At 39.9% G+C, this 26,455-nt stretch overlaps 1 protein-coding gene across 7 annotated transcripts in view, besides 2 other annotated features; it reads left to right on the top strand.

Moving 5' to 3' along the window:
• Positions 1–26,455, top strand: part of PCNX2 (pecanex 2) — a 343,895-nt gene that overhangs the window by 88,603 nt on the left and 228,837 nt on the right. For all 7 annotated transcript variants that reach the window (XR_001737430.2, XM_047430870.1, NM_014801.4 and 4 more), the window contains 4 exons: positions 1,747–1,882; positions 11,356–11,501; positions 20,543–20,696; positions 20,796–20,828. Coding sequence is in view for 6 of the 7 variants with exons in the window: in XM_047430870.1 (XP_047286826.1) it covers positions 1,747–1,882; positions 11,356–11,501; positions 20,543–20,696; positions 20,796–20,828 (469 nt within the window). In the remaining variant the exon portion in view is untranslated. The remainder of the gene's footprint in view (positions 1–1,746; positions 1,883–11,355; positions 11,502–20,542; positions 20,697–20,795; positions 20,829–26,455) is intronic.
• Positions 3,223–3,744: an enhancer, noted in NCBI's record as "H3K4me1 hESC enhancer chr1:233370729-233371250 (GRCh37/hg19 assembly coordinates)". NCBI's record gives its function as "activates a minimal SCP1, AML or CMV promoter by ChIP-STARR-seq in naive H9 embryonic stem cells {active_cell/tissue: H9 hESC(naive)}" and the evidence as "EXISTENCE:reporter gene assay evidence [ECO:0000049][PMID:30033119]".
• Positions 3,745–4,268: an enhancer, noted in NCBI's record as "H3K4me1 hESC enhancer chr1:233370205-233370728 (GRCh37/hg19 assembly coordinates)". NCBI's record gives its function as "activates a minimal SCP1, AML or CMV promoter by ChIP-STARR-seq in naive H9 embryonic stem cells {active_cell/tissue: H9 hESC(naive)}" and the evidence as "EXISTENCE:reporter gene assay evidence [ECO:0000049][PMID:30033119]".

Here is a 26,455-nt window from a genome sequence, read left to right as displayed (position 1 = left end):
TGTGTGTATGAAAGTTGCTTTTTTTTTTTTTTTGAGACAGGATCTTACTCTGTTCACATAGGCTGTAGTGCAGTGGCATGATGATGGCTTACTGCAGCCTAGACCTCCCAGGCTCAAGTGGTCCTCCCACCTCAGCCTCCCAAGTAGCTGGGACTACAGGCATGTGCCACCATGCCCAGCTAATTTTTTTTCTATTTTTGTAGCGCTTAGGTCTCACTGTGTTGCCAGGGCTGGTCTTGAACTCCTGGGCTCAAGCAGTCCTCCTGCCTCCCCCTCTCAAAGTGTTGGGATTACAGGCATCAGCTACTGCGCCCAGCTGTATGACAGTATTTTAAACACCATTCTCACAGAATAACTATTGGTGTGTTTATGAATATGATAGGAAGGAGTTAGGAAAAAGAAACATCCAAAAGATTGTCAGAAACTTTATCATGAAAGGTGTAGATTATAAATCAGAAGGGAATTTTGTTACTGTAGCATCTGCATTCTTAAGGAGCCTGTGTTAGACAGTGTGATTTGGGCTACAAGTAACCTTCTGTAATAAAATGGGCTGCACGATGAGATGTATTATGCCAGAACACAAGAGGCCCAAAGGTATGATCTGTTCAAGGTTGGTGAATTCGGAGGTTTAATGCTGTCATCAAAAAACTAGTTCCCTTCCATCACTCAGCTCTCCAGTACTCAAGTTTGTCCATCACGATAGCAGTATTTATTATTCACGAATCATGTAAAGGCCTGGAGAAAGACTGTCTTTTACTTTTGTTACTACTTAAGAACTATAGAAAAATTTGTCCGAGAGCTCTCTTAATCCCAGCCAACTCTTCTTTGCTCCCCAGTGACCTCTTAGAGTTGTGTTTCTTTCTCATTCCAAAGCCAAGCTCTGGCCAGGGTGAATGGCTTAAAGACCAGGATTTTTCCCTGGGGCTAGGGAAGGACCTCATGTCTCTTCCAAAGCAACAGTCTTGGATGACTTAATAAAATGGAGTTATGTTAGGAGACATTCTGTGAGAAATGCCTGTTGAGTAGGCAGCCAACATTGTCTCCTAAAAGTTATAGATACCCTACTAGAAAATCAGATAGAGAAGTATGTCCTAGTTTTTGCTTTCTGAGGCAAAGGAAAAAAATGCCAGGATTTTTTCCTTTGTAAAAATGAGATTGCTTACTATTAATTTAAGTCTTGTCAATCTGTGTGTGGTTAAAGATAAAACTATTTTAGATATAGATCACAACTAATTCCATCATGTCCTCTTGATCAATTACCCAAGACATTTCTTTTGTCTAATAAGTACTTACCTTGCTTTGGGGTGTGGTGGAGAGGAGATGCAGCTAGGTAGCAGAGGTGTTCATCTCTGTTTCTTCCTGGTTGGTGTCTGGAGAATTATCAAGCCCACTATTTGTTTTTACAAAATATGAGGCTAGAACTTGTTGCTAAGGCCTCCCCAGGCATTAAATATTTAAAAAAATTAAGGTTGTCATCTGTAGAACACCAGGCATCTACCTACCTGCCCTATGACACACTGCAACCCTGGGTAGCCTGAGTAATTTCAATGTATGCAGGGTAATTGACCTTCTACCTGAAGGTAGCCTTGTATACATAATTTTAAACTCTTAACTGTTTATGTAAGGTTGTAAAGTCTCATCCACTACCTGCTTTGGGCATTCCTATTGTCCTTGTGTTTGTGTATAATAAATAGATGACTTCTGGTATTACCAGGTAACCAAAGCTTTTGTTTTGCCCATCCTCAGAGAGATGCAGGTCAGCTCCTCCAGTACCACAACTTCTGAGAGTCAAGATCCGTCTTCTGGGGACCCTGCCGTCAGTGCCCTTCAGCAACAGCTGTTACTGATGGTGGCTCGCAGGACCCAGTCGGAAACCCCACGGGTACGTACATTCCAGAATTGCTGTTTGTGGATGTTCTGGAAACAGGGGATCTTAAAACCTTTTTCCAGGTTGGATTACTTGACAGGATTAGTCAGCTCTTTCCCTGAATTTTGCATCACGGGTTGTTGATATATCACTGCAAGGCAGTCTACTGACTGAATGTGAAAGGAAATCAGATAGATAGCAGCTAACCTTGGGTTGATATTAACAGGATTGCCACTGTCTCTGTTGCTTTTCAAATGCATTAGAAATTCATGCACATTGATTTTTGGTTGCCAGGATGCATAAGTCTCACAAGAGCTCACTGGATTAGGTTGCCTTTTTCTCCCATGGTTTGGAAAGTATCTTTTTTTTTTTAATGTATTATTGCCTTGTATATTAAATATTCAAAGATTCTTAAATGTTTGACATAAAGGGAGACTTTATTCTTGGGGCAAGTAACATTATCATCAAGAGGTCTAAAAATGTGAAGCCTTTCATTATTTTACTAAGAGATAACTTATTAATGTTCATTCATTTATCCAGTCGACCTTTAATGAGACTCTTGGGAGGCAGAGCCAAGGATTCAAAGCCAGAGATAACATGGGAGGTTAGTGAAACACGCAGACATGAAGTTAGAGCTGCAGATTCAATTTTGGGCATTTTGGAGGAGGGGTAATGGGGAAGGCTTCTTAGAAGAAGAAATACTTCGGTTAGGCCCTGAAGAAAGATTGGTTTCCATTGGTACAGATGGAGAGAAGAGGATTGTAGATGGTATGATGTCATGTGAGTGTCAAGTTTCTTTATTTCTGTTTACCTTTTTCCTGGAAATGTTTCAGTTCATTCTAGAAAAGCTCATCTTTGAAAAAATAATATAATTATATATATATATATATATATATATATATTTTTTTTTATGATTGCTTTGCCACATTTTTCCAAAGGATGCTCAACAATACAACGTGGCTGGCTGCAGTGGCTCACGCCTGTAATCCCAGCACTTTGGGAGGCCAAGGTGGATGGATCACCTGAGGTCAGGGGTTCAAGACCAGCCTGGACAACATGGCAAGACCCCATCTCTACTAAAAATAGAAACATTAGCCTGGCATGGTGGCACGTGCCTGTAGTCCCAGCTACTTGGGAGGCTGAGGCACGAGAATTGCTTGAACTCAGGAGGCGGAGGTTGCAATCAGCCAAGGTCGTGCCACTGCACTCCAACCTGGGCAACAGAGCGAGACTCTGTCTCAAACAAACAAACAAACAAACACAAAATACATTGGGTTGAAATTTATACACCATTACCCAGCTGTGCAAAGAAAATGTTGAGTTACCTTTTAGCTGACCACATATTGCTCTGAGCTCTTATACCTGTTGATGTGGGGAGTGTAGGGATGACTTAACTTAAAAGTGCCAGTTGCCAGATACAGTGGCTTACACCTGTAATCCCAACACTTTGGGAAGCTGAAGTGGGGAGACGGTTTGAGCCCAGGAGTTCAAGGCTGCAGTGAGCTATGACTGTACCACTGCACTCTAGCCTGGGGCAGAGTGAGATCCTCTCTCAAAACAAACAAAAAAAGTGCTAATTAGGGTAACTCAGCCCTTTCAGTCTTGGAGTTTGTGTGTGAACAAGTGTTTAATTTATTCAAAGAATCAGTCTTTTGGGACTGTTTATTCTCTTCCCTTTCATGTATTCAGGCTCTCCTCCTCCTCCTTTCCAGGGCCTCTGTGTGTTAGGGATAGGATTCCTAAACCTGTGGGTGGAAGTGGACCTGAGAGGGGCACTTCTGAGGAGGGGAGCATCCCCTTAGTCCAGTCACCGGGTGTACTGTGTGTTGTACCTGCCTGGTTTGGGTGAGGTGCTGGATCTGCCACTCACTGACCACCGGAGACCCTGCCATTTGCCCTAGCTGTGTTCTGCACACACTGTCAGCCCGTACAAGGTCTGTGAGCTCTGCCCAGCCCCACCCCCAGCTGCCAGTATGTAGTTCTCACCACAGCCCTAGTATGTGGGGGCCCTGTGGAATACGGGCTTTCCTGAGGGACTTGCATTTTCCCCTGAGATAAGCCCGGAAGTGCTAACTCCCTACCACCCTCCAGAACATTAGTGTTGAACCTTCAAGAAGGTTCCATGAAAGTATCAGGATAGCTTGGGAAGATGTGAATGCCATTGATTTCATGAGTAGAAGAGCTAGAGGAAACTAGAAACTTTAGATTATCAAATGTATACATCCATTGATTTAATATCTCAAAAATATCCCCGTTAGAGCAGAAACTTGAAAATAAGTAAATACTGCAAGAATAAATCAGAAATAGTCCTGCCATTCCTTATTTTACATTTGTAATCCTATAAATGTCACGATGATGCATAAAAACTCAACTCATCTGTAGCGTTTTATTGTTAGACACTTAACCAAATTCATTGCTTCAACCATTTAAACTTTAAGTAAAAAATTTTAAAGTTCTATATTCTAATATATATGGGTATGGAGGAGGAAAAACGAAGATTGCTAACCAGGCTCATGTTTAGACCCTAAGAAAATATTTACAAAGTCTCATACTGGGAAAATAATGTAGTTCTACTATTTGATTTCTAAATATAATTGATATCACCAGGAAATTAAATTACGTTTCAGCCACAAAATAAAAATTAAATAGGTTTTCTTGTCATTATCCAACAAATATTTGCTGTAGGCTGGCTATGCCTGCAGTTTTGTGCTAGAAGCTGGGTATACAATGGTGAAAAGACTCAGTCCCTGCCTACAAGAAGTTTAACAGCCAGTCAACCAATTCAACTCTATACAACAGAAATTCTGATTAGAATAGGCTCTGGTGGTGTGGGACACAGGAAAAGCTCCAGGCCAGGAAATAGGGGATCAGAGAGGCTTCCTCAGCAAGGTGACACCTCAGCTGAAATGTGGAGGATGAGTTGGAGTTAACCAAATAAAAGGAGATAAGACTATCTAGACAGAGAAACGACCTGGCCAAAGGGGCCTGGAGGTGAGGCTGAAAGCAGGTGTGCTCAGTGTTACTGGAGCCTGGAGGCACAGGGGAGCTATTTCTCAGAAGAGACTAGCAAAAGCAAGCAGGAGATAAGGCTCGGAAGACAAGACTTTAATCCCCTCCTTCCCCCATCCTCCCTGCCTCTCTCCTTCAAGTGCAGCACACGAGCTCTGGGAGTGCTTCCCCCGCAATGTTCTGCAAGCTCTTTCTAGTAAAGGATGGAATTCTGCAGGCTCTAATGGGCGGGTGGTCAGGAGGTGAGCCAAGGCCAGAGGAAGACTTGTCTGAAATTCCTCCCTGGTACAAATACAGTGTGTGTGTAGGGAATGAAGTGTCCCTGAAAGGGGAGCTCCCAGAAAGGGCTGTCACTTTTATAAAGGGCTGGTCACTTAAAATACACACACACACACACACACACACACACACACACACACACACACAGGAGAAGAGGAGGTTATTTTTCATTGTCATAGCTGTAGAGTTTAGCTCTCAAGCACAAAGGGAAGGGCAGAGCTTGGGGCATGGTTGGAATTGGTGAAAACCTGTTGTTTGAACTCAAGATTGGCATTCAGGGGTTTTGAATATTACCAATTAAAAATGTTGCATGAATCCATGTTATAAACTGGTACTTCTCTGTCACTAAGTTTATCCATCATGTGCTTCTAACCCCACAGAGTATATTCTGTAGACTCATTACCATGGTTTTTAAAATCTTACATTGTCCCAATATGTTATGGGCCAGTACCTGGGCAATCACCTTGAAACATTTTGCTTATTACACTGCTGGTTGAGAGGCAGGTGCAGTCTACCCAAGGGCAGCATAGGATCTGTAGGAATACAGCATTTTCCGCTTCCATTTACTCTCACCTGGATATGGTCTCCAACTCATTCAGCTTGTCTTACATTAAAAAATGAGATAGTATTGTATGTGAAAGTGTTTTGTAAACTCTAAAGCTCTATGCAAGTCTATGATAGTGGCATTATTATTATTATTATCATTATGGATAGCATGACGGTCAAGCATTGCATTGGTCCTAAACTGATGAGAATTGGTGAGAATTGCAAAGATAAGCACAGTGCTAGGCCTGGCTGACTGTTATTCTAGGTAGATATAAAGGTAGCATTTACATCACAATTTACTATCATTAAAACATTAACAAGAACTCATAAGAATATTGGCATTTACTAAAAGATGAAACAATTGAAATAATTATGGAGATGAAAAAGAGGAGACATCAATTATAATATCGTAACATTTATTTTTCATCATACATATTCATTTATTTGAAAGTATATTAATACTTTAAAAAGAAAAAGTAACATTTGCATCTTTTTCACTTATCATGTTCAGAAGTTCATTTAAATATGGATGTTCCTCAACTTAGAATGGGTTTATGTCCCTATAAATCCATCATAAGTTGAAAATATCGTAAGTTGAAAATGCATTTAATACATCTAACCTACTGAATATCATAGCTTACCCTGGCCTGCCTTAAACATGCTCAGAACACTTACATTAGCCAACAGCTGGGCAAAATCATCAAATACAAAGCCTATTTTGTAATAAAGTATTGAATATCTCATATCATTTATTGATGTTCTACTGAATGCTTATCACTTTCATAGTATTGTAAAGTTAAAAAATCATAAGTTGAACCATTGTAAGTCAGAGACTATCTGTAATAGGTTTAGAATCTACATGATTTGTTATTAATTTTGGCTGCTAAACATAGCCACTGTTATAATAGGATAATTCTACTTTTAAAAAAATATGTTTTATCCCTCAAAGTTTTGCTCACATCCAGTTATAATTCACATTCCACTTGTATGTTTTGAACACAAGTTATGTGCATGGCACTGGGCTAGGTACTCTCATATTTGATGTCATTTTATCTTTAAGAGAAGTCTTCAGGTTAGGCATTATTTCATCTGGGGGTTGAATATCTAAGGAAACTGCAGTGCAGAGAGTACTGGAACTTGGGGTGTTGAAGGGACCCTGACCCAGTGTTCCTTCCTAGTTGTCCTTTTGTCACTATTAGGGTCTCCAATGCTCACATCCTCCTTGGCAGCCACTCTGTGATTTCTCAAAATTCTATTTCTAACACCAGAGTCCCTACCAACCCTGCCTTCCCAGTGCTGAGTTTGATAGCTGTTAGGAGTTACACGTAGTTCCCCAAAGGACCACTTTTTCTTCTGTCTACTGTTCACTCTTCTACTCCTTCTCCCTATCCCCTGCCCTTTCAGGTAAAATCTACAGATACGTTCTGAGAAGCTGAGAACCTCTAATTATTTTCAATATCCACCCCCCAAGAAAACAGGCCAATAATTTAAAACCATCTGTGCCTGTTCTGACTTTGGGGAGGTTCTATAGAGCTGATCACTTACTCTCTTTCACATAACAGGGCCTATTATCTGTTTTCGTTTTTATTAGATATGGTTCATTCTCAAAATCACAAATCTGACTTTGTTTGTTTTAAATAACTTTTTATTTGTAACTCATTATTCCTCATCTTATTTTTGCCAGTTTCCATTATCTAGTTTGCTTTTCAAATTTGTGTTGTTAACTTGTTCTCTCACAATGAGACTATATGTATTATCTCTTGAACTCTATTTGTTTTGCTGTGAAGGTAGCTTTCTCTTTACTGATGAGCACTGCTTGATGTGTTGATTCACCTGGGCCCCCTTAAGCATGATTGTAGAAAGAGCCCAGACTTTGGCTTCCAGCAAATCTCTTCCTAATCTAGGACCTTGGGCCAGTGGCCTAATCTCTCAGAGCCTCAGTTTCTTTTAGAAAACTGAGCTATTGTGATCTTTTAAGGATTAGAGATAATATATGGCAAAATTATGACTTTACTAGTTGGTGGCAATTACTAATATCATCAAAAAATCTTATTTGTTATCTGGAACTCTTGAAAGTAGCATTATTTGAACAGTAGAATTTCTCAGGTATCTCAGAAGACATAGTCTTTTATTCTTAGATTTCAAAAATTCCACCAAAAATATTTCTAAAAGGTACCCTATCCTTCCCTGCCTTCTTAAGAAGAATATACTGATAATAATGTAAGTTGTTCTTGATAATTCAAATTCATTAAATGAACACTGGATATTATGATATAAACACTAATCCATATGGGGAGTGTGTGTAAATGCAATTATCTTGTTTTTTAAAAAGAACCTAAGTTCAACTTTTATCCTTTCCTTTGTCCTCGCTTTTCCTAAGCTCTTTCTCAGAATAATAGAATTAAACTTGCAGGCCCAACTTACTGGGCAATGGAGAGATGGTAAAATTTGCTTTCTTGGAGAGTTCTGCAGTGGCATTTAATGAAGCAGCTGCACTGCCCTCATGCATGCCAGGCACTTTGACATCAGTGACTTCCCCTATTCTTTGGCAAGGCTTAATGAATCAGAGACATAAACATCTTTTTTTTTGTCAGTTTGTCCATGCATTCATTTTTTTTCATTATTTAGATCACTTACAGTGAAAGATAAAAGTGATGAATATGAAACTCCTTCTCAGACTCCACTGAGGGTCCTCACTTACGCAAGCCCCTTAATTGTTGATGCACTCCAGGGAATGCCCAAGACCCCTTTACTCCATGCCTTCTCCCAGGATGTCAGTCCTACACTCTCTCGTGACTCACTTCTCTCTCCATACATAGATACAGATGTGGATACATTTATGCATGTGTGATGATGTTATCATGACTGGTTTGCTTGCCTATTCCCAGAAATTTCTAAACCCCTGTAAGGTAGAAACTCTCTCTTGTTATGTTTTCAGTTTTCAACATATATTACATATAGCATTTGGTTTATATAACCTACACAATAAGTATTTTGTTCAATGAGTGAAAACATGAATGATATTAAAATGATGAGAAATATTTGAATTTGAATTTGGTACCAGAAAATAGGCCAAGAATAATTGTTGTTACTCACCAAAACATGTAACTCTGGGCTTCTTTGATATCTAAGGCAAAAAAATAAAATTCTATGAACCTTTTTTTCCCATAAAAGAAGTGAAATCATTTCTTTTTTTCATTAATTTTTGAGGAGGTTTTTTTTTTAAGCAAGGATTTTCATTTAAGCAGCAATAAACAGCACAGTATGCTGGAATCTTTAATAAGTTTTTAAAAAGATGCAGGCATAGTCTTCATGTAATTTTTTAGATACTGACTTTTCCTAACAGCTAAGGGTATCATATGAAACCCCGCTTTAAGAAGGCATTTTTCTCCTATTGGAAGGAATGCTCTCAGCTCTTGCTTACCCTTGACCTGTTTATGCCTCATACATGGATTCTTACATAACAAGGACAGTAAACCATGGGCTCCTGTGCACCTGATTCTTATTTACACTGTTTGTCCATGTGGCTTCAAGGAAAAGGACTCCTTTGTCGGGGGAGGTTTACTATAAACCACAAGTTCATCATCATGCAAAGAAGCTGTTCCTGCTGAGATGACACCAGGCAGTTTCCGCAAAGCTCTCTTCTGTGTTGAAATAGAATTCCAGGCACAAGTAGCACTTACAATCTCAACTTTACTGTTATCATTCAGTCCAACTCATCCTGTATATTGCCTTCATGATAGATCAACTTTCCCTTCAGATGCCTTTTGCATTAATATTTGATATCCGGAATAACTCCATTTTCCATAGGCTGAGTAAGCAGATTAGCATCTGGAAATGGAGAGATGGTAAAATTTGCTTTCTTGGAGAGTTCTGCTGTGGCCTCTAATGAATGCATGCCAGGCACTTTGACATCAGTGACTTCTCCTAAGTTAGGAAAAAAGTTGTGCTGTCTGCCCATGTATAACCTTGTGCTTTGTAAGCCAAAGACAAATGTAGAAGTCCTTTAAAAGCCAATGTCACCTCCACCGCTGCTCTTTGTCCCATACTCATCCCTTTCTTGTCTTTGCCCTTCTTTTTAATCTCCTGTGTCTTATATTTGTCAGCCTAGAGGAAATCATAACCTTAAATCCATGTTGGAAAAGTGCAAGGCAAAACCAAACAAAAATACGGATTAGAATAATCCAGCAATTCTATTTCTGAGTGTATATCCAAAAGAATTGAAAGCAGGAGCTCGAAGAGATATTTGCACACCTGTGCTCCTAGCAGCATTATTCACAAAAGCCAAAGGGTGGAAGCAACTTCAATATCCATTGACAGATTAGTGGATTAACAAAACGTGATACAGACATACAAGGAGTATTATTCAGCCTTAAAAAGAAGGGAAATTCTGACACATGCTACAACATGGATGAAGCTTGAGGACACTATGCCGAGTGGAATAAGCCAGTCACAAAAAGGTTCAACTACTGTGTGATCTCACTTACATGAGGTACCTAAAAGTGGTTACCAGAGGCTGGGGGGAGGGTAAATGGGGAGTTGGGGTTTCAGTTTTGCAGGATGAAAGGTTCCAGAGATCTGTTGCACAACAGTGTGAATATGGTTAACACTATTGAATTTTACACTTAAAATGGTTATGATGGTAAATTTTATGATATTTGTTTTTCACCCACAATTAAAGATATATAGAGGTTAGAAATAGAAGCTCTGCAGGGGGCTGGGGTATCTAGAGAAGGCTTAAGATAGTAGCAAGAAGTGACAAGCAAACGGTCAAACAATGAAGGAGGAGCTGCATGGGAGCTTTGGTTTTAACAGCTTCTGTACACGGAGAACGGGAAACAAAACACAGGTGGGATGTCCAATAGGAGGCTCTCCACTTCATCTGGGACCTCACTGTTAGGATTAACTAAACACATTCTATTACCAACATCTTCACTAGGGGGACTACATGGAAAACTGCGTGTTCCCAACCTTGTTCCAGGCTCCTAAGAATCCCTCATTAAGTATTTGATAGACAAATCAATGAAGACTAATTTTTTTTTTTCAAAATTGAATTCTTTTCCACTGAATTAGAGCTAATAAGAGATGAATTAGGGGTTAAAACTTTTACTATCTGGGTCTAAATTTCTCCACATTTTAGTTTTAATGATTTAGATTTTTTCAATAAATATTTCAGTTTTTCTTATAGCAGGCTTCACCAATAACCTAGATATTGCCAATGAAAATCTTTTTACTCTTAGTAAAATTTGAATATGTATCTCAACATTAACACACTTTTCAGAAATGAAGTCATTTAAGATCTTTTATTGAATTCCTACTTTTCATAAGAACTATTTTTATAGCAGTTTCTTGGCCTTAATGAGCAGTAGCATTTTGACGTGATGAGTAGCAGAATTTTAATGGTACGTTGTAAAGAAATTGAAGTATGTTGGTAAGAAAAGCGCTTTTTGTTGATCATTATCCTTTTCTTAGAGTATTTAGTTTGAATGAAATATGTTGGTTTACATATCAGAATTTGAACATTTGCTTTTTGTATTTTTAAATTATGGTGTACATATATATGTGTGTGTGTGTATACATATATATATATATTTGTGGCCATGCCATGACAACATAAAGCCCTTTTTTCTGTTGTTTCTTTTGGTATCTAAAAGCATGTGAGTCAGGATCTGGAAGCCTCGTCATGTTCTTCAACACAAGGAAAATTTAACCGAGAGCAGTTTTACAAATTTATCATTTTCCCTGGCAAGTGGATTAAAGTCTGGTATGATCGACTGACCTTGCTGGCATTACTTGATCGGTAAGCCACTGAGCATGCACACACACTGTCGGAAGGCACACCGGGGACGTGACAGTGCCCACTGCATGCTTTCAAAGAGAACATTGTCACTTGCACATTTTCAAGTTGTACGCTTCCTTTGCTGACAACCCAAAGTTAAAGCAAAAAGATCCTGACAACAAATTGTAGTTCAGCAGTTACAATGAGAAATAAGAGAGTTACAATAAGTAACTCTTATTAATAATAAATTAACATATTAATAATAAGAGATAATGAGAAATAATAAGTTACAATAAGAAATAAGAAATGGTTTGTATTTAAGGTTTGTTTGGGCACAGTAGCATGCTTTGGTGTACTCACGTCTTGCCCTATTTTTGTGGGAAAGCTTGAGGCCCATCTGTAGCACAGGGCCTGGCTTGACTGGGTGTGGGCATGGGGAGAGGAGGGAAGATGAAGTAGGGTGATTTCTGCCTCTTTCCCGGACACCTTGGATTCTTATTGCTCACTTGTATCTGATGTACACTCACTTGAATGTTAATTTTTCCTTTAATCTCCTTTCCCCTTTCTCACCTCCTCCTACCACTGTTCCATACAGCAAAACGTTGTGGGGTTGGAGCTGTGGTTACTGGGTAGGGAGAAAGAGGAGGAGAAGTTAAGGTTAGTTAAAACATGATGGAGGCTGGGCATGGTGGGTCAAGCCCGTAATCCCAGCACTTTGGGAGGCTGAGGCGGGCAGATCACCTGAGGTCAGGAGTTCAAGACCAGCCTGACCAACATGGTGAAATCCTATCTCTACTAAAAATACAAAAATTAGCCGGGTGTGGTGGTGCATGCCTGTAGTTCCAGCTACTCAGGAGGCTGAGGCTAGAGAATTGCTTGAACCCAGGAGGCGGAGGCTGCAGTGAGCTGAGATTGTGCCACTGCACTCCAGCCTGCACAACAAGAGCAAAACTTAATCTCCCCCCCACCCAGAAAAAAGAAAACATGATGGAGATGGGCCTAAGGAGTGGGGGCTTCTCATTTGTATCTTTTCCTACCTCAAAATTTGCACATAACAGTTTATGATGTTCAGGGGCTGAGTAGCACTGACTACACGGTTGGCTTGAAAATTTCAGATGCTATTACTAATGCTGCCATAAGCAATTGCTGAGTTTCACAGTTTAATGCCAGCTCTTGGGGGCAGTGGAAAAACTGGTTGCCTGTCTTGTTGTCATTGGTCCCCCAGTGACTGGTTTTTATAGTAATGTCTTAAATAGTGTGATCACATATGAAAAAAACTATAGTCATGCAAAATTACAACAGTAAATTTCAGGACCCACAAGTCAGGGAATGGAGTTATAATGGTTTTCCTAACAACACTATGTTACCCAAGGGGCACACACTTAGAAGGAACATTTAATACTTAACTAAAAATCCAAGATAGTATATTCTGGTAAATGAGGCATTTTTGAAATATTAATTATTTTCTGTTAAAAAGAAATTATTGAAAGTTGGACTAGCTTGCATTAACCCTTCATGTCAAAACAAAAATAAATGTATCTATAGATTTGTCTGTTATTTTAAAATCTACTTGGTGACAAAAAATTAATTGGAAATCCATTGGAAGTCTAGGAAGGATGATGAGGATGACCGCACTTTTTAAAAGCTTATGTTTTCATTATTTTAATCACCTTTCTGGCAAGTTACAATGGGTTTTTAAATGTTGTGCTTAGGGATGACCTAGAAATAGCACCATTCCCTTATCCATAGATCCTTCAGCTGGTTGGGGAATCCCTGGACTCGAGTCAGCCTTGGGAATTAAACCTGGTCCCTACTACTTATTAGTGCTATGATCTTAGGATGGCTATGAAACCTTCCAGTGCGTCCGTTTCCTATCTGTTAAATGGGTATAATCTATACACAGGGAGGTTGTAAAGATTAAATCAATTTAGTCATTGAAAGAGTTCTTTAAATATTAGTTGCTCCTATTATTATTATTATTACTTGGAATGTGGCCCAGCTCCCAGAAAGAAGAAAAATTAAAAATAAATAAAATTAGGCTAGCCAAAGTAGATGTTGTCAAATCCAGACACTAAAATTTAGACTGTTAGTTCATAGGTAACATAACATTTTTTTTTTTTTTTTTTTTTTTTTTTTACTTTAGTTCTGGGATACATGTGCAGAACGTGCAGGTTTGTTACACAGGTATACATGTGCCGTGGTGGTTTGCTGCACCTATCAACTCGTCATCTAGGTTTTAAGCCCCACATTCATTAGGTATTTGTTCTGATGCTCTCCCTCCCCTTGCCCCCCAAACCCTGACAGGCCCCGGTGTGTGATGTTCTCCTCCCTGTGTCTATATGTTCTCATTGTTCAACTCCCACTTACGAGTGAGAATATGTGGTGTTTGGTTTTCTGTTCCTGTGTTAGTTTGCTGAGAATGAGGCAACGTCACTTTTAATTCAGAGCCATATAAGCCTACCAAAAGTCATCAGTTAGCAGGATTGGTGATCTGGTTTTATAATTTAGAGTCAATTAAAATAAGGAAAGGGACTACATGAACTCACAGCTCACAGTGAGGAAGGAGGAAGAAACCCAAAATACTGACCTAGAAAAACTGAGCTGTTTGGGACCTTTGCAAGGAGAGCATAATCCCCAAACAGGGCTGTGGGTCGGAATCATTGGGGAAGCTGGGTAAAAATGCATAATATGCATAATAAAAACAAACTGTAAGAGCTAGGCAGGAAGCGGAAGAAAGCAGTGGGTAACAAGCACTAAAATTGCAGTAATCATTGCTATAAACTCCCATAGATTAAGTCATCCTGCATGACATTCTTCAAAAGAGTCAGGCTGTTCTTCCTTAAAAATGTTTTCTTAGTCTTTGGGCAGTAGTTTCATGGTTCCTGCCGTTGCAGTTCCAGCTATTTGCCTGCAGTTCTCCACCTATTCTACTCAGATGTTTCTGGACTTGTCCTATTCTCCTTACTTATATTCTCTGATTTCATATCTTGCCATTACCCTTTCCTTCAAAACACTGAGGGTTTATTTTCATTTATCTAGTCGATCAGGTCAGCATCTGAAATAAGAAGTTGCCCTTCTGTGCATTATTTCAACATTTCATTCATTCAACAAATATGAACCAAAGCACCTGTTCCGTGCTAGGATCTGTACTGGGCACTGGGTATGGAGTGATAAATAAAACAGCCATTGTCTCTGCCCTTATGGAACTTACTTTCTGGGAGAGGAGAGAAAACTGTAATAGGTGCCATGAAGGAAGCACATAAAGGCCTGAGATAGAGAGACCTGAGAGGGAAGGGCACTGATGTTCGAACTGGTGGTTGGCAAAGGCTTTTCTGGGGAAGATACACACAAACTGAGATATAAAATGAGAGGTAGCTAGCTATATGACAAGTAAAGAGGAAATCATTCATGCTTCTCAAACTAAACTAATTGTCATCAGTTACCATGAGAACACACACTTATAGCTCTCATCCTTAAAAATCCTGTCTTAAAACCATCATTCTCAGCAAACTAACACAGGAACAGAAAACCAAACACCGCATGTTCTCACTCATAAGTGGGAGTTGAACAATGAGAACACATGGACACAGAGAGGCAAACATCACACACCGGGGCCTGTCAGGGGGTGGGGGACAAGGGCAGGGAGAGCATTCGGACAAATAGCTAATGCACGCGGGGCTGAAAACCTAGATGACGGGTTGATGGGTGCAGCAAACCACCATGGCACATGTATACCTATGTAAAAAACCTGCACGTTCTGCACATGTATCCCAGAACTTAAAGTATTTTTTTAAAAATCCTGTCTTACCCCACTTTTTTACCAGCCACTGTCCTGTTTCTCTGCTCCTCTTTGCAGCAAAACTCCTTGAAGGGTTGCCTGTGTTTGTTTCCATTTGCTCCTTTCATTCTCTAATAATCCTGTCCCATTCAGGCTCCCCCAACCTCAAAACTCCGTTGAACCTGCCCTTGTCAGGGTCACCGTTGATTCCATCTTTTTCTTCTCACGTTACTAGACTCATTTGGAGTATTTGACAGAGTTAATTTCTCCTACTGCCTGGTAGAGGTTCTCTTGGTTTCCAGGACTCAGCATTCTCTTGGTTTTCCTTCTGCCTTGTTGGTCACTGCTACATAGGAAGGGAAGATTTACAGGTTTTTCTGCCTCCTGACCCTTTAATGTTGAAGTCCCCAGTGGCTGCAAAGCTCTTGGTCTTCATTCTTTCTCTATCTGCCCTCCTTTCTTTGGTGATGGCATTCAGTCTCATGGCTTTTAATATGCCAGTGACACTCGGATTTATATCACCAACTTGGACTCATCTCCTGAATTCCAGACTTGCATATCTAACTACCAAATTGACATCTCATGATTTCAGGATGACATCTCACATCCAAGACTGAGCTCTTCATCTCAGCCTCACCCAAGCCTGCTCCACTTGTGGTCTTCCCCATCTCAGGTGATGAAAACTCCATCCTTCTGGTTTCTCTGCTTAAATATCTTGGAGTCGTCCTTGAGTCGTCTTTCCTTTCACACCTGCATTCAGTCTCTTGTAGGAAGTTATTTTCGCTGTTCCTTCCACGTGTATCTATTGCATCTTTCCAGTGTCAATGTGACCACCTGGTCTGAGCCATTTCATCTCTCATCTGGTTACTGCAATAGCATCTTCCCTGCTTCTATCCATTCATTCTCTTTGTATAGTATTTTTTTTTAACTTCTCACATTGCTAGACTCATTTGCCTAGACTGTTGCCTAGGCTGGTCACAAACTCCTGGGCTCAAGCAATCCTCCTGCCCCAGCCTCCCAAGTAGCTGGGATCACAGGTGCCCATCATGCTCAGCCCCTGTACACTATTCTTAACCCAACACAATATGTCTTTTCAACGTCACTGCTTTACCGACTGCCCAGCAATGGCTCCCCATTTCACTCAGAATGAAAATCAAAGTGCTCACAATGCCCTCAAGTCCCCCATGCTGTAGCCACTAATTTGTTTTCTGGCCTGATCTCCCACTATCCCTGTGGACTTTTCTCCATCCATACTGGCCTTCCTTTTGTCTTTCAAGCATGCCAGGCAATCCTCCAGCTTAAGACCTTTGTACTGGCAGTTCCTGCGCATGGAACATTCGTCTCCCAGATGTTTGCAGTGCCAACTCCCTCACCTTTTCTCTCGCCTGGTTCTATTCTTTTTTCTGTTGCATTTATGTTTACATATTGTATATTTTACTGAACTTTTTTGTTGATACTTACTTATGGCACCACTCACAGGAAAGGAAGCTCCCATCTCTTTTGTTCACTGATGTCAAAGCAGCTAGAACAGTGTGGAGCACTTTTGCTGCATGAAGGAAGAAACCAATTTTCCTTTGCAAATTGGCTCCCCTTCCTAATTTCTGCCATGGATTCTGCCATGATCCTTTACTTCTCAGGTTTTTAAATCTTGGAGTAATCTTTATTCTTTCAATCAGTCCTTCGTTGTCCATAATCCATTTGGAGTTCTGTAAGCCTCACTCTGAGTTGTGTCCTCGAGTCAGGGGTCCTTTCCTATTCCCCAGCCATGTGAGCTTCCCAGGCCCTCATTACCTCTCCTGGGAGTTTTGTTTATCCTTGCTCTGTTCTCTTCCCCATCCAGTGCACTTTGTAAACCTCTGCATGATAAATCTTTCAAAAGTACAGCCTTAGTCATGTCACTCTTTGCCTGGCAAGTAAACTTTTTAACCCGATATTTAAAGATAGATAAACAGGAAACTGAGGGAGAGAGGATTGGGAACCTGGGGGCAGAGGAATTGAATCCTGGCAGAGGAGAATTTGGAGGAAAAATATGTTTTAGGAACCTTATTCTTTGCCCTCCCCAAACAGAAAAAGGTTTTTTTTTTCTTTGAAATTTTATTTCAAAGACCTTTGGATATTTTTAAGTATCCATCAAAATGTTATGAGATCATGAATTTCATGGACCTCAACACACCAAATATATTGAGCACTATTAAAAGTGCACAGTGGAAAATAAAAGATACCCACAATTTCCTTTTTGCCAAATATATTTTGGTTTCCCCCGATTAAAAAAAAAAATTCAACTTGAGCCTCATGATTATCTGAATACTCAGCCTTTCTATATATTTCTATGTTATCTTTCTACCCTATTCTATTATTCTGTAATATATCAGCTGCAGTTCAGTCAACCAAATCACCCATTGTTTTCCTTCTGGCTGTTGTCCTCAGAGTTTCCCATCCTTCCTTGTTTAGGAGGCCCAAGGCTATGCCTCTCGGCAGCCCCAGCTCCAAACCTATTTTACTATAGTTATTTATTTTTCTATTTCTTTGAATCTGTGAAATCTGTATACGTATCTATCAATCAATCATCTCTATAGCTATCTATCTGAAATTATATATAAAAAGTCCCTATCAAATGATTCATGCATTTGTTCATTTCTTCAAATGTTTTCTCTTTACTGTTTCTCTCATTTTTGTTAGCTATTGAAGCATCAGGTGTCAGCATTAGATTCGGGTTCTTTTTCCCTCATTTTTTCATTCGTTAAAAAATGTTCCACAGAATGGAAGAAAATATTTTAAAAAACGAAGGATTGTCATCCAGTATACAAAGAACACTTAAAACTCAACAGTAAGAAAAAGGAACAACCCGAAAATGGGCTTAAGGCCTAAAGAAACACCCCACCAAGAAGATATACAGATGACAAATAAGCATATGAAAAGACATTCAACATCAATAGTCCTTAGGGAACTGCAAATTAAAGCAGCAATGAGATACCACTACACACCCGTTAGAATGGCCAAAATCCAAAACACTGACAACACCAAATGCTGGTGAAGATGTGGAGCAACGGGAACGCTCATTCACTGCTGGTGGGAATGCAAAATGGTACAGCTACTTTAGAAGACAATTCAGCAGTTTCTTATAAAACTAAACATATTGTTCACCACACGATCTAACAATCATGCTCCTTGGTGTTTACCCAAATGAGTTGAAAACATACGTCCATGCAAAACACTGCACATGAATGTTTGTAACAGCTTTATTTATAATTGCCAAAACTCAGAAGCAATCAAGATATCCATCAAAAGGCAAATGGATAAACAAACTGTGGTATCTTCATACAATGAGATGCTATAAGAGATAAAAAGAAGTGAGGCACCAAGCCACAGAGACATGGAGGAACGTTAACTGCATAGTACTTAAAGAAAGGAGCCAATATGCAAAGGCTACATACCGTATGGTTCCAACTATATGGTCCTCTGGAAAAGACAGAACTATGGAGACAATAAAAAGATCAGTTGTTGCCAGGGCTTAGGGTAGGGGAGTGATGAATAGGTGGGGCACAGATTTTTAGGGCAGTGGAACTTTCACTAGAGTTCTCATTTGGTGGAGACATGTCATTATACATTTGTCAAAACCCAATGTACACCACCAAGAGTGAACTCGGATGTAAACTATGGACTTTGGGTGATACTGATGGATAATGATGTGTTAATGTTGGTTCATCAGTTGATGTTGATGGTGGGGGAGGCTGTGTGCATGTGTCTGTGGGGAGGGGCTATGTGGGAACTCTGTACTTTCCCCTCAGTTTTGCTGTGAATCACAAATGTCTCTCAACAACATATCCTATTATTTTTTTTTAAATGTTCACAATTGCCTACTTGCTAGGCACAAAGTAGCCAAATATTCTTGTCTAAAAAACAATATCAGCTTAGTGGGGTAGAAAAACAGGTATATGAGCAAAAACTGGAAAGGTGAGAAGTATACTCAGAATCCTTGCGAATGACCCACCCAAACACCCAGGCCCCTTGTTCCCTGACCCTGTGGTCCATGCCGTCCCCTGTGACTCCATTTCTGCCACTTCCTTCCATGGCCTCACCCTGCATCTTATCCTCTCACAGAAGTCTTCCACCTCTGACATTATAATCCTGTCTCTGCTCATCCTTTGTATCTCTCTCTAACTTCCTCAGATGTTCCTCAGTCCTCTCCAGCAATTTGCCCCACCATATTTCTCTTACCTTGCAGCCCTTGCCATCTTCAGTTTCCTCCCTATTCTACCTAGGCTACATGATCCAGCCCTGTAGCCCCTTCCTATCTCTATCCTAAAACAGCCTTACATTGTCCTTTGCATACCCACCTGATAACACTCCACCTCTGGATGACCCCACCTCTCTACCCTATACCTTGTATGGGGAGTCCATACAAGAGTCACCCAGTGAGACAGTGTGGACCCGACACACCCCAGGGCAGGTCCTCTGCACTGTCAGGAAGTTGCAGCTCACCCTCAACTCTCCTGCTGGAGCTCTCCTGGCTCCTGAAATTTGACAGTAAACTCGGACACCAAAAGTTTTATCTGGAAATGATTGTCTGCTTAGGCCAGGTGTGAATGCATCCCCCTTACCACCCCCTTCCATTGAAAGGAACCAGTGAAGCTCTTTATCTGAAACACATTTCATGGTCATGGATGGAATCATTAACTACGTTTTGCCAGTAAACCCAGTTTAGTGGCCAAGCAGATCCAATGGGATGAGATTTTATTTGCTTCAATAACAAAAATCTGGTATTAAGTTGGATTTTGTTTATATAGCATGAGGAATAAGGAAAGAAAGAAACCCTAAAATCTCACAGGGGAATAAAGTCTTGCTTAAGGTAACTACTGTGTTGTCATGGTTCATTTTTTTGGAAACATGAAGGCATTCTGTTTAAAAATGGCAAAACTGGCTGGGCACGGTGGCTCACGCCTGTAATCCCAGCACTTTGGGAGGCCAAGGAGGGCAGATCATGAGGTCAGGAGATCAAGACCATCCTGACTAACATTGTGAAACCCCATCTCTACTAAAAAAAATAAAAAAATTAGCCGGGCTTGGTGGCGGGTGCCTGTAGTCCCAGCTACTCCGGAGGCTGAGGCAGGAGGATTGCTTGAACCTGGGAGGCAGAGCTTGCAGTGAGCTGAGATCATGCCACTGCACTCCAGCCTGGGCGATAGAGCAAGATTCCATCTCAGAAAAAAAAAAAAAAAAAAGGCAAAACTTACACTTTTTTTTTTTTTTTTTTTTTTTGCTTTTATGTATATATTTTGCACAGAACTGAAGACATCAAGGAGAATGTACTGGCGATTTTACTCATTGTCCTGGTTTCCCTCCTTGGATTTCTGACCTTGAGCCAAGGCTTTTGCAAAGATATGTGGGTGCTCCTCTTCTGCCTCGTCATGGCCAGCTGCCAGTACTCCCTGCTAAAGGCAAGACCACATCTAATTCTTACCAGTAGCGTGTGCTGTCACTAATGTAGCCTTGAAATCATGAGATGATGACACAGACACTTCTGATTTGTGTTTTAGAGTGTTCAGCCTGACCCCGCCTCACCAATACACGTAAGTTTCCAAATACAGGCAAGTAGCTTTTCTTGTCTGTCTGTGTTGAAGACAGGGAAAAAGCCAAAATCTAGTCAAAGGGCCAAGTCTGTACCTAGCTCTCTATACTGAATATAAAATAGAAATATCAAATATATATATATATAAGTGCATGGTGGCCAGCTTCCAGCTAAGTCTGAGAGCATGGTGTGGGTGGTATGGGGGAAGGTGTGGGGCAGTGGGTGGAGAGTGTGTGCAGAGTCTTTCCTATCCCACTGGATTCAAGTCAACAAAGATCGAGCAGTCTTGGGGGAAGACCGCAGACGTTGCCATCAGACTGCCTGTCTTTGTGTCCTGATTCCTCCACCTGAATGTTTGACACTGAACAACATACTGGGCCTTTTCATGCCTCAGTTTCCCTATGTGTAAATAGGTCTAATGGAAATGCCTACATGGATTAAATAATCCATTTAATGTGCTATAACAGTACCTGACACATAGAGATTGCTCAATAAAGGTTAGCTCTTATTATTAGTGATATAATTATATGGGCATGAATGATTATTCTTATTTTTAAAATTTATTGTATATACTTATGGGGTACAGGGTGATGTTTTGATATATGTATACATTGTAGAATTATTAAATCAAGCTGTTTGACATATCTATAACCACATATAGTTATCATTTTTTTTTCTGGTGAGAACATTTAAAATCTACTCTCTTAGCCGTTTTTGAGTATAACAGTGTATTATTATTAACTATGGTCACCACACTATACAGAAGATCTTCAGAATTCCTTCCTCCTGTCCAGCTGAAACTTTGTACCCTTTAGCCAATCTTTCCTCATTCCCCATCCCACTGCCTCCTGGTAACCACCATTCTATTCGCTTTTTCTATGGGTTCAACTTTTTTAGATTCCACATGTAAGTGACATCCTGCAGTATATTTCTTTTTGCACCTGACTTAATTCACTTAACCTAATAATGTCCTCTAGATTCATCAGTGTTGTTGCAAATGACAGGATGGTCTTCTTTTTTTAGGCTGAATGATATTCCTATTATATATATATATACCACATCTTCTTTATCCATTCATGTGTTGATGGACATTTAGGTTGATACCATGTCTTGGCTATTGTGAACAGTGTTGCAATGAACATGGTGATGCGTATATCTTTTGGACATATTGATTTTATTTCCTTTGGATATATATTCAGAAGTGGGGTTGCTGGATCATATTCAAATAGAATTAAAAATTCTATTTTTATTTTCTTTTTGAGAAATCATACTGTTTTCCATAATGGCTGTACCGATTTCTGTACCCCCTAGCAGTATAGAAGGGTTTCCTTTTCTCCAAATCCTTGCCAACACTTGTTATCTTTTGTCTTTTTGATTAAAGCTATCATAACAGGCATGAGGTAATAGCTCATTGTGGTTTTAACTTGCATTTCCCTGAATCGTTTATTCTTTTTACATGAAGCTAATCTCTTTATTCCACATTTTCACATATATTGTTACTTTTCATCTCTGTAACTTTGAGCTAATTCATAACAAAGACTCTGAGCTCACCTATGCTGATCTGTTGGTGCCCTGGCATTATTTTGTGAACTCTGAAACACACCCATGTGCTTTCCTCTGAGCCTGCTGCCCCTTTGCTCATCCATGGTGGCCTACGGGGTGGGTGCTATGGGACAGGCAGTGCCCCTTGCAGGCATCTGAGCCACATGCCTCTGTACCGAGTTCACCGCCAGGTAGACTCCCCAGCTCGCTAAGCAACTGTCTTTCCTTTGTTGTGGCAATCTCCTGTAGCCCTGGAAAACCCTCCCAATGAAAGAAAGCTTGATTTTTCCCTCTATTGTGCTTTTAAAAAAAATTATATCCAGGATTTAGGACCCATTTTTCAATCTGTGATAGCTCCTGTTTAGCTCATAGTAATTAAGAAAAGCTTATAATTGGACGATCACATGGCATACATTGCTATCTTGTTAAATTCCTCTGTTCCCCATAATTGGTTTACATGTAATACATCTTCTTTTATCCTAGAGTCTGAATGTCAAGATAAGTAGAAGCAGCATAATTAGGGTATTGAGATGTATTGTTGTGATTATCGTCAGAAATCTGGGTTAGGTGGTGTGAGAGAGATGTACAGCTTTGAAGCTTTTTTGTTCAAGCCCACCCTAGATGCCACATCACCATTCTCCTGCCTCAGTCAACTCTCCTCACTCCTAACTGCACTTCAGTGTCGCTGTTTTTCTGCATGACTCTGGGGAGGGGTGTTCTATGCTGTTAAACATTCCTTTCCTGCATATCCTTTCAGAAATAATGCAGGACATCCCAGTAAAGGTGGATGGCAAGTACAGCTGCATAATCCTTGTGGATTTGTAATGTCTGTTACTATGGCCCGTATGCCACTGCTCTAGGTTGGAGTTATATTATTTAGTTCCCAGAGGAATCAATCAAGCTGCTATTCCTTTATCTGAGCAAGCATGTCATATAGTGAGACAGTATGAAATCACTTTTGTAAGACATAGTCAGACATTTAACTATGTTTATTGCAGTAATTAATTTGCTTACACAGATTTCTAAGTAGATTAGTCTCTGATTTGAGTTGGCATTTCTCCAGTACTTCTAATGAAGAAACAAAATATGGTAGCTATAAAATATTTCTTGTTGCAATCTGACTGAACCATGTGGGTATTTAGAAGACAGATTTATTACCTCCCATTTGTAGATAGAAAGCTTTAGAAAGGAGATGGTCAGGATCGGGAACCCAGGTTTGGGACACAGAGACGATTCTCAAGCTTGCTGCTGATTTTTATTCATAAGGGGCTGTGAAAGGAACCAAACTGCTTTTCAGACGGCACTATTTTGCACATTTGTGGAGGGTAGCTGTTAATAAATTCAGCCAATTTTTGCTCTTAGAGTGATTGACAGACCTTTCTTTTTTGCGTGCTTCTAAGAGCACAGGTGGCATATTTTGAGCAAGTTGTTAAAATCAGAAGATAGCGAAATGAAAATAAAGTTTTTGCATAACACTGTGTATTTCAATTTTAAATGCAGAATGAATAATAATAGCATGGCAACAGGTATGATACAGTAGCCCCTGGGCTCAAAAGAAATTAGTTTGATTCTAAAAGAAAATAGGTCTGGGAGAGCTTAGAAAGATTAGGAGTTGGATACTGTCTAACTGAAACTTTGCAATTTGAGGATCAGAGATGGCAATATATTAATGGGGAATGAAGATATTAATTTGCTTACACAGGTGTCCATATATGTGTAACTGACAGTAACCACTAATAACCCAGAAAGCAAAATTCAGTAGAATATCCAAGAGACAGTGAAAAACTAGAGCAGTGTGCCCGGAATCGCCTGAGCAAGCCAGAGGCAGAGCTCGATTTCCCCCCTCCCCTCTACTGGCTGGGACAGCACCCGGTAATCTGCATTTTTACACACTCCCAAGTCATTATGGTGGAGGCAATCACAGATCACACTTTGAGAAATATTGGAGTAACCAAATGCATACAGGGTTCATATCTGAATGCAGCCTTACCATGTGTAAGCTGTGAGAGCTTGGGAAACTTACTTCTCTCAATCATAGGTTTTTCATCTGCAAAAGAAGAATAAATAATAAAACAGGATTGCAAGAGAATGAAACAATGCAGTGTCCCTGAGTGTTTAGCACCGTATCTGGCCCTGAAGCACTTAGCAATTGTTAGCAGTATTTTTGTGTTTGTGCAAAATACGGATAATCAGAATAACATCAGTTGGATTTAATAAAGAGTGCACTGGGTGGCCAGGCATGGTGGCTCATGCCTGTAATCCCAGCACTTTGGGAGGCCGAGGAGGGTGGATCACAAGGTCAGGAGTTCAAGACCAGGCTGGCCAAGGTGGTGAAACCCCGTCTCTACTAAAAATACAAAAATTAGCTGGGCACGGTGGCAGGCACCTGTAATCCCAGCTACTCGGGAGGCTGAGGCAGGAGAATCGCTTGAACCCGGGTGGCAAAGGTTGCAGTGAGCCAAGATCGCGCCACTACACTCCAGCCCTGGGTGATAGAGTGAGACTCTGTCTCAAAAAAAAAAAAAAAAAAAAAAAAAAAAAGAGTGCACTGGGCAATGTATGTAATATGCCTGGTGCAGGCTTTAGCGTATACTAAGTATACTAAGTCCTCTGTAAATGTTTCCTTTCTCTTTACATATGTGTCTTGATTCCTTACAGTACAAACTCCAAAGAGGGCTACAGCTTGTTATGCATTCTATTCAATTAACTGTTGCTACTATTCAGGGAGGACATTTGGTATCCACTTCAGGTTATGTAGAAATTATTGGAGATTATTTTTTGTAAGTAAACCTTTTATTTTAGAGTAGTTTTAAATCTACAGAAAAATTGGGAAAGTGGTACTAAGAGTGTCTGTATACCCCATTCCCAGTTTCGCTGTATTAACCTCAAGCATTAGTCACAATATGATACATTTGTTGCAATTAATGGACCAATACTGATACATTATTATTGAAGTCCACATTTTATTCAGATTTCCTTGTTTTTTACCTAATGCCCTTTTTCTGTTTGAGGTTCCCATCCAGGGCACCAAATTACATTATAATAGCCGTCTTGTCTCTGTAGGCTCCTTTTGGCTGTGACCATTTCTCAGATTTTCCTTAAGCCTGAAAATTATTAGTCTGATTCTAAAAGGAAACAGTTTCTGGCAAACTTAAAAAAATATATAGGGTGAGGTGGATACTGGAAGAAATCCAAGGAACATATATACTAATATGCCAGTATGCTAATAGTTTTTGATGATCTTGACAGTTTTGAGGAGGACTGGTCAGGTAGTTTGTACACTGTTTCTCAGTTGGGATTTTTCTTATGTTTATCTCACGATAAGATAGGGATTATGGATTTTAGGAGGAAAACCACAGAGGTAACATGATGGATCACATCACATCAACGGGACAAATTATCAATATGACTTATCTCTGTTGATGTTGACCTTGATCACCTGGCTAATGTAGTGCTTATCAGAGGAATGATTTTGAATGACATGAAATAATTTCTCAATACTCAATCCTAAGAAATAAGAAGGTCAACTTAGTTTTATGGATCTTGATGAAAAGTTCTCAAATAATATTCAATTGTGTCTTTGCTCAAAACAGTAGTAGTTAAAACAGAAACCATTTCAAATCATACTTAATTTCTACCATTGATTAAAGGCAGAATGTAGGTCACCACTCTTACTGCTCTCTTTCACTGCCTTTGAGGGCAGTGCTGAGACAGTAGGAAAATACGTGAACTAGGAGATAGCGGAGTGGAGTGCCCTGGACGGCACTTGATGAACACTTTGATACCCATTTCACTGCCCTCTTCCCTGGACAACTGCATCTGCCATTTTGTCAGGATTCACAGATCTGAAAGTTACGAAGTTGGACCTAACATAAATTGTTCTGTAGAATTCAACGATAAACTAAGCTTAAAGAATCTTATTTGCCTATTTCTTTTCAATTTTTAAAGTAGCCTATCACATTTCTGCTATATTTAAATTGACGTTGTACCTTAATATCTCAATAGTAAACCGGTGAGAATTATTTAACCCTTTGGCTACTGCTTCTCTTCCATACAAAGAGAATTCCTTAAAATATTTTGGATTCT

This window comes from Homo sapiens, chromosome 1 (assembly GCF_000001405.40).
Source record: "Homo sapiens chromosome 1, GRCh38.p14 Primary Assembly".
In the NCBI taxonomy this organism is placed as follows: Eukaryota; Metazoa; Chordata; class Mammalia; order Primates; family Hominidae; genus Homo; species Homo sapiens.
The sequence above is the reverse complement of the archived record's forward strand: the minus strand, read 5'-3'. Positions and strand labels throughout refer to the sequence as shown.